The 8,155-nt window shown below is 39.6% G+C and overlaps 1 protein-coding gene across 1 annotated transcript, besides 2 other annotated features; it reads left to right on the top strand.

Annotated features, from left to right (window-relative positions):
- The first annotated feature begins 5,799 nt into the window (after positions 1-5,799).
- On the top strand, positions 5,800-8,147 carry CCDC89 (coiled-coil domain containing 89). Its single transcript, NM_152723.3, has one exon. It carries the CDS (start codon positions 5,865-5,867, stop codon positions 6,987-6,989), a length of 1,125 nt encoding a protein of 374 aa, NP_689936.1. The 5' UTR covers positions 5,800-5,864; the 3' UTR covers positions 6,990-8,147.
- Positions 6,004-6,503: an enhancer, noted in NCBI's record as "H3K4me1 hESC enhancer chr11:85396535-85397034 (GRCh37/hg19 assembly coordinates)". NCBI's record gives its function as "activates a minimal SCP1, AML or CMV promoter by ChIP-STARR-seq in naive H9 embryonic stem cells {active_cell/tissue: H9 hESC(naive)}" and the evidence as "EXISTENCE:reporter gene assay evidence [ECO:0000049][PMID:30033119]".
- Positions 6,504-7,005: an enhancer, noted in NCBI's record as "H3K4me1 hESC enhancer chr11:85396033-85396534 (GRCh37/hg19 assembly coordinates)". NCBI's record gives its function as "activates a minimal SCP1, AML or CMV promoter by ChIP-STARR-seq in naive H9 embryonic stem cells {active_cell/tissue: H9 hESC(naive)}" and the evidence as "EXISTENCE:reporter gene assay evidence [ECO:0000049][PMID:30033119]".
- Positions 8,148-8,155: the final 8 nt, after the last annotated feature.

The following is an 8,155-nucleotide window of genomic DNA, read 5'->3' as shown; positions in this document are numbered from 1 at the left end:
AACTCCATGGACTTCTCACATGGTCCAGCAGTCCACCCAAAGCATGGTTACTGTTAGGCTAGGCTAGCTTCTTTCAGAGAGATGCCTACCACCCTTCTCCTCAGCTGTATTTTCCAGGGAACTTGCTTAGACATCTTTGCAGATCCCTGGCATCCATACTCACTATACAAGTAAAAAGCCCCAAATATCTCTTACCACTGTACTTTCATTCCCATTCTGCTTTGGGATTGGTCTCTCATCTACTCTCATCTTCACTCTCTCCCAGGCTTATTCACTAGTTTGTTTTATAAAAAAAAAAGTCCCCACATACTTGATTCAATCACAGACAATATATTCCCTCTATTTCTTTGGCTGGCTTTTTCCAAAAGAACTGGTTCTCCTTCAGCCTTACAAAAAGAAAGCTCACTCTCACACCCAGTACCTCAATCAGGATATGGGATCAGATTTCAGATCATTGCTCCTCTCTTTTCCTGTAAATGTTTCTAAGGATGTGTGTTGTCCAGTTGTATCAGGAAGGGAGTACAGTGTAATGGTTAAGTGACCTCCAGAAACAGGTAGCTTGGATTTGAATCTCAGTTAAACCACTTAGTAGCTGTGTGACCTTGGACAAGTTATCTAACTTCTTTGTGTCTCATCTGTAAAAGAAAAAAAGAAAGAAAGAAAGAAAGAAAGGGGCGACATTGTGCCTACTCTATAGGTGAAAATAAATGAATCAATATAGTGCTCACTTTTGACAGATAGCATTCTGTAAATGTTTGCTATTATGATTATTCCTTCCACTCATTCTTGTCCTCTACCATCCTTCTCAACTCATTCATTGATGACCCTGGCCCCTGGCTCCACAGCATATGAATGTTCATCAGACACCCTGGCTTCTTAGTTCCTTGACCTCCTCAATTTGAATATCCTTAACCTCTGTTCCTTTTCAGCCACACAAATCCATGAACTTCCTTGTAACTGAGAAGTTCCACCTTTGAAGCATTAAATGTAAACATCCCACTCTGACCAAAATCTCCTATGCTCTCAGCTTTCAGTTCATTATTCTGTAATATTATTTTTAAAAGTCATTGTGGACACCATCCCTCAAACCCCTATCAGTCACCTCCCACTATCACTCCTCTATCCAGTCAACCACTCTCTTGCCACTAGCCTCAAAATTTTTGCTTTCTTTTTTTTCCATTGAATACCCACTCACCAGCACTATTACAGTTCCCATCCCCACATAAATTCAGTGGAACTACCCTGTCCTTGGTGCAAACTGTGGCTGGAGAAAATCACACATCCACCCTGTCTACAATAGAAATGAGAAATAGATGGAGAAATAAAGAGTCCTTGTGTGTGGCTTTGCATCTGCAGTTTTGGTTCTTGAGGTTCTACCTAGTTCCTGCCTCTCCTGCTTTGACTCTATGAGCTCCCGCTGTGCACTTTCTGTGAGCCAATATATTTCCACTTGCTTAGCTAAATTGAATTGGGTTTCTATTAAAACAATCTTGACTAATATGCCCCTTCCATCCAAGACTGGTTTTGTATCCCTTCTTTGTGCCTTCAGTAACACCCAGTGTTTACCACTGTATCTTTGAAAAGAGTGATGTCTAATTTATCTATGATTACTTTAGCAGTGTTCACACTGAATTATTGTTATCCATTTATCTGTGTCTATCACTAAACTGTAATCATCCTGAGAGTTGGGACTTCATTCTTGGATATAATAGTTTCTCAGTCTATGTGAGATGAATGAATGAATGATCAAATGGACAAATGAAATGTGATCTAAGATCATGGGCTTTGGTATCAAAAAGATCTAGATTTGAATTCTCGCTCTATCACTTATTCTCTGGGTGGCATAATTTGCTTAACCTCTCTCAACCTTGGTGTCTTTGTTACCTGTAATTGATAAAATGTGGATAATAATGCCTACCCTTCAAGAATATCATTAGAATTAAGTGAGAGATGTACAAATAAATGCCCACTACCTAGAAGAGCTCTGTAAATGGTAGCTTTAAAAGGGAGGGAGGCATGGAAAGACTTAAAGATAAGTGGAGACGACTCATTGATCACCACAAGGGAGAGAATTGGTCACCTTGGATCTCTGGGAAGGGAATATATGGGATACTTTTAGGAGGGGAGCTAGAAAAAAAATGATTGAGCAAAGAAGACAACCACGGCAGAAAGGAACCAAAGTGATTACTAAACTAAGTTATTTGAGGACAGTGATCGTATTTATTTTATTAATATATTCTTAGCACCTAGCATTGCAAATAACCTTGCAAATGTTTACTGAATAAATGAATGAATATTGATTAGGATCTTATCAGATTCTTGGTCTTGATAAGTAATCTATAGATGTGTGTTATTTTAAATAATGTAAATATAAATTTAATAGAAATGTGTATTAAAATATATTTGCAAAAAAGAAATATAAGCTTTTTCAAATGTGGAAAATTTAGCTGAACATGGTGGTACATGCCTGTAGTCCTAGCTGCTTGGGAGGCTGAGGCAGGAAGATTGCTTGAGCCCAGGAATTCAAGACTGCAGTGAGCTATGATGACACTACTGCACTCCAGCTTGGGCAACAGAGACCCTGACTGGTAAAAAAACAAATGTGTATGTATCTTTTTTCCGTATTTTTCTGAATTCTTTTCCTCCTTTCAGGAAATATATTTTGTGAATTCACTTTATGATATCAGACAACCATATAATCAACAAATAAAATTTTCAATGTTTGTAAGACCCTTTTATTTAAGAGGACCATTCTAATTTTCTAGTCATTTGCCTTGAAAATAACTAGACGAACTCCATTTACGCATATGAAGCTTGAAATTTAAGGAAAAGGACAAGAGAAATGTGGGAAAATTACAAATAAGTTTAATTCACATTTTTAAAGTCTTTGGAATTCACTTTCACAAAACTTCAATATCCTACTGTTTATGTAGTTGTTAAAATTTCAGCTTAGGAAATTTCCCCAGTCTTCAATCTTGGTTTCCATATATAGACAAGAAATTCAGGATTTGAAACATGAGACCTTGATCTTTGACAGTGAGGGAAGAACCTGAAACTCTTCTTTCAGATTTGTTTCGCTCCCAGTGAAATCTGAAGCATTTAAAAATTCATCTCATATCTATAATGACACCCAGGGTTTTTCCTTATCATCATGACTTGGGAGATAGTAAATCTGATCACCAGAAACTGTGACCACAAGAATAGTCAACTCTTTTCCCTACCCTTAATTTTCACAGGATTGAAATCATCTGAATTTTAAGTTTTGTATTTTGCCTTTTTCAGTTGTATTTCTAACATAAGACTTTTCCATGCTATTAAAAATTACCTATAAATGTAATAAGTTCTAGTGGCTGTACAATATTTTTTGTATGAATATATCATAATTTTTGTAACCATTCCCTTTTTTTTTTGAAAACTTGGGTTTCCAACTTTTAGTTGTTACAAACCACACTACAATGAAAAGTTTTGAGCAAAATGTTTTCTTTCAGATTATTTCCTAAGCAAAGATCTCCGCAGAAGAATTACTAGTTCGGAAGCCATAAAAATATCTTAATTTCTCAGTACCTACTGTCAACTGACTTTCACCAACAGTTTAAGAGAGTGCCTATTTCAATACTCCTTTCTAGTCCTGGCTTGTCTTAAGAGAAAATTTTTTGACTAATTTGATACGTGAAATTATATCTTTTTTTTTTTTTTTTTTTTTTTGAGACGGAGTCTCGCTTTGTTGCCCAGGCTGGAGTGCAGTGGCGCGATCTCGGCTCACTGCAAGCTCCGCCTCCCGGGTTCACGCCATTGTCCTGCCTCAGCCTCCTGAGTAGCTGGGACTACAGGCGCCTGCCACCACGCCTGGCTAATTTTTTGTATTTTTTTGGTAGAGACGGAGTTTCACCGTGTTAGCCAGGATGGTCTCAATGTCCTGACCTCGTGATCCGCCTGCCTCGGCCTCCCAAAGTGCTGGGATTACAGGCGTGAGCCACCACACCCGGCCGAAATTATGTCTAATTTTAACTTGTATTTATTGGATCACTGTAGACGTTCAGTTCTTGGCCATTTTTGTGAATTTAATTGTTTATTTTTTAGATGTTAATGTTTCGTTGATATGTATAAAATATTTATTTAAAAAAGGTAGTGTCTGGGCTGGGTGCGATGGCTCATGCCTGTAATCTCAGCACTTTGGGAGGCTGAGGCGGGTGGATCATTTAAGGTCAGGAGTTCAAGACCAGCTTGACCAACATGGTTAAACTCCGTCTCTACTAAAAATACAAAAATTAGCCAGGTGTGGTTGTATGTAATTGTAATCCCAGCTACTCAGGAGACTGAGGCAGGAGAATTGCTTGAGCCCGGGAGGCGGAGGTTGCAGTGAATCGAGATCGTACCACTGCACTCCAGCCTGGGCGATGGAGGGAGACTCTGTCTCAAAAAAAAAAAAAAAAAAAAAAAAAAAGTAGTGTCTGTCATATTAGGGATATTTTTCTCAATTTGATTTTTACCTTCAACATCCACTTAATACACATTTATCTGAATCTCCCCCATGTGCCAGGCACTAGTCTAATCATCAAGGATGAAATAGACACAGTCCCTGCCCTTAAGGATCTTACAGTCTAACAGAGGGAAGCTGGCAGATAAACAGTGACTGCAATAAAATTTTCACATCCTCCACCAGAAGTACAAATAGCTATAGCGGATGCACTAAAAGATGTGAGTGACCAATTGGACATGTAGGGGCCAGGAATAGGCTTCAGAGACGATTCTTAACTAAGAATAAAAAGCTTTACTAGAGTGACAAGGGACAAAGTAGGAAAGGCATTCCAAGTAGAGGAACACCTAAAGATAGGGCGAGAGAGCTGGTTAGTGGATTTGGGTTTGGCTTCAATATTTGGGTTTGAGGAGTAAAATGTCAAGAAAATCCAGTGGAAGAAGGGGCTGGAGAGACCTCAGAAGTCACATAATTTAAAAAATTATACATAACTTTTTGAGTAAGCTTTCCCTTTCTGATCTTACATAATGTTTAAGATAAAAAAAAAATCCTTCCTAGCCCCAGAGATTTGATGTTTACCTTCATTTTCTTCTAGTTTCTGTTTACATTTAACTAATCTATCAGGAGTTGACTTTGGCATATAATGGCAAGCTTCATTTGAATCTTATTTTTTCTGTTTTAATGTTTATCTGTGTGGTTCACTAAGCTTCTTTCTGTAACCTTATTTTGCTAATGGGTAAAAACAGGGGGTGTTAAATATCTAATAAAGAGTATTTATGCCCAGGTGGGGACAATGCTAAGAACAACAAAAGAAATTTCACTGGTGTTTTCTATTTTAATACTTAAATACCAAAAGGGAGCTGTGCCAAACATCACGGGTGCAGATATGCAGGCTTTTAGGGTCCTGGCTCTCAGAATACCACTACTACTTTGTATTCATAGACTGAAATTTTTTGAGGAGCCAACCATGTTTCCACAAACAGTAATTTATTCAAACGATAACTGAAGAGGGGAGAGGGAGGATAAATATATCATTGCCTGCTTCATTTGTTTACTACTACCAGAAATTAGGTGGAGTCAGGCTTCCTCCCCTGATGCTGGCTGGAGATTGAGTGGGGTTGGCATCTCTGTGCTGTACAGGCCAGACACTGAGACAGTTGACAACTGAGAGCTGTGATTGGTTAGAAAGGCAAAAGTAACCCGACCAGATTGGCTCTGGACTCCCCCAGATTCCCCTGTTGTTACTTCATAGCATTCTGAAGACCTGTCCACCAATTACAGGGCTCCTTACTGGAAAAACCAACTGCTGGGGAGTGCCAAGAGTCCCTAGCAACACCCTGCAGCGTTTGAAATCTGAGGGGAAAAGACTGTAGTCAGCCCTTAGTGGATGAGAGCGCCTATGCTCCAGAAACAGCAGGCTCCCAGGATGGACACCCCGCCCCCTGAAGAACGCTTAGAGAAGCAAAATGAAAAACTGAACAACCAGGAAGAGGAGACGGAGTTTAAGGAACTGGACGGTCTGAGGGAAGCCTTGGCAAACCTCCGGGGACTGTCAGAGGAGGAGAGGAGCGAGAAGGCTATGCTTCGCTCCCGCATTGAAGAGCAGTCCCAGCTCATCTGCATCCTGAAGCGGAGGTCAGATGAGGCCCTGGAGCGCTGCCAGATCCTAGAGCTGCTCAATGCAGAGCTGGAGGAGAAGATGATGCAGGAGGCTGAGAAGCTCAAGGCCCAGGGTGAGTACAGTCGGAAACTAGAGGAACGCTTTATGACCCTAGCAGCCAACCACGAGTTGATGCTCCGCTTCAAGGATGAATACAAGAGTGAGAACATCAAGCTGAGGGAGGAGAATGAGAAGCTGAGGCTGGAGAATAGCAGCCTCTTCAGCCAGGCTCTGAAGGATGAGGAGGCGAAAGTATTACAGCTCACAGTCCGGTGTGAGGCCCTCACTGGGGAGCTAGAAACGCTGAAGGAGAGGTGTGCTCAGGATGCCTGCCAGGCACAGGCGCGCGAGAAGGAGCTGCTGGAGCTACAGAGCCAGCAGGCCTGCACCCACACCAAGGAGACAGAACAGCTGCGCAGCCAGCTGCAGACCCTCAAGCAGCAGCACCAGCAGGCTGTGGAGCAGATAGCTAAGGCAGAGGAGACACACAGCAGCCTGAGCCAGGAGCTGCAGGCCAGGCTGCAGACCGTCACTAGAGAGAAAGAGGAGTTGCTGCAGCTGTCCATTGAAAGGGGCAAAGTGCTTCAGAACAAACAGGCAGAGATCTGCCAGCTTGAGGAAAAGTTGGAGATAGCAAATGAAGACAGGAAGCATGCGCTGGAGCGGTTTGAGCAAGAGGCAGTGGCTGTGGACAGCAACTTGAGAGTCAGGGAGCTTCAGCGCAAAGTAGATGGGATCCAGAAGGCCTACGATGAACTCAGGCTGCAGTCTGAAGCCTTCAAAAAGCACAGCTTGGATCTTTTAAGCAAGGAGAGAGAACTCAATGGCAAACTCCGCCATCTCTCTCCATAGGGAAGTTTCTGCTTCCTCTGGCCTGCAATTCAGAATTCAAATATTTGCGTCTTAGCATTATGGCAAGAGTAAAGATGATATCCCATTTATTATACTTTCAAGCACAAAAGGCAACTCAAAGAAAAGCTACTTTACTATGATATTGTTGTTATTATTGTAAAGCCATTATTAATTTTCATTTCTACACCTAGAATACACAAGATTTGCCAGATTTCCTTCTGTGCCTTAGAAATCTTAAATTTACTAGTAGTATCTTCTCCTACCCATAAGTTATTAATTCTCAACCTCAGATATCTTCATTTATGTTAGGATTTTAAATTAGCAGCTTCTATGATTTAAGTCAATCTAAGTGCAGTGAGATGTGCCATTGTGAAAAATAATTAGCACAATTACCCACTGTAGATAGTTAGGCTTATAGTCTCCCATAGTTGAGATTGTAAGCAAACATGTATCAGCATAATAGCATGAATGCTTTGCAGAAAAAAAAAAGTGTCTGACTTTATTTTATTTTGCGCTAGCTTGGAAAATGATTGAGATCAAGTTCTTTAACAAAGAAGGTCAATTTTATTCTGTATGAGCAATATGATTCAAATAAGTTATACAAAACAACTTTTATTTTTTCTGCAAGCTTAGATAATATTCCATTTTTTGGTTTTCTCTTTAAAAAGAGGATTTAGATGTGCAATAATGCAAATATCAGTAGCTTAATTTAATATTGCACGATATGCTAATAGACAATTAGACAATTTGGGGTAACAAATCATAGCAGACGTGATCTATAGAGTAACTCAGAAATTGTTTTGTTTCTATTAGCATATTTTTTGTAATTAAGATTTTCCTTTTTTAAAAAAATCTAAGCTGAACGTGTGTATGTATGCTTGCAGCATTTTTGTAGTAATACCTACATTTTGTAAGAATAGTTATAAAAACATGATATATATATATGTAAAGTTCTTAAAAAAGTTCTCAAAGGTAGTTATATTTTCTTATCTTCCTGTAATTAGGTATTGATATATAAACATTATTATGAATACCTCTCAAAATAGATTGTAATGTAATATTTTTCTCACCCATTTTGCTGAAGGCTACCAAGTTACATAATGAATTTACTTAAAAAATATGACTTGGTGCCTTTTTAGTAAAACCATTTCCAAGCAAGTGTTACC

This window comes from Homo sapiens, chromosome 11 (genome assembly GCF_000001405.40).
Source record: "Homo sapiens chromosome 11, GRCh38.p14 Primary Assembly".
Taxonomy (NCBI): domain Eukaryota; kingdom Metazoa; phylum Chordata; class Mammalia; order Primates; family Hominidae; genus Homo; species Homo sapiens.
The sequence above is the reverse complement of the archived record's forward strand: the minus strand, read 5'-3'. Positions and strand labels throughout refer to the sequence as shown.

What these genes read in the sequence shown, in the direction of transcription:
- CCDC89 (NM_152723.3), top strand. Translation starts at nt 5,865, where the DNA reads ATGAGAGCGCCTATGCTCCAGAAACAGCAGGCTCCCAGGATGGACACC.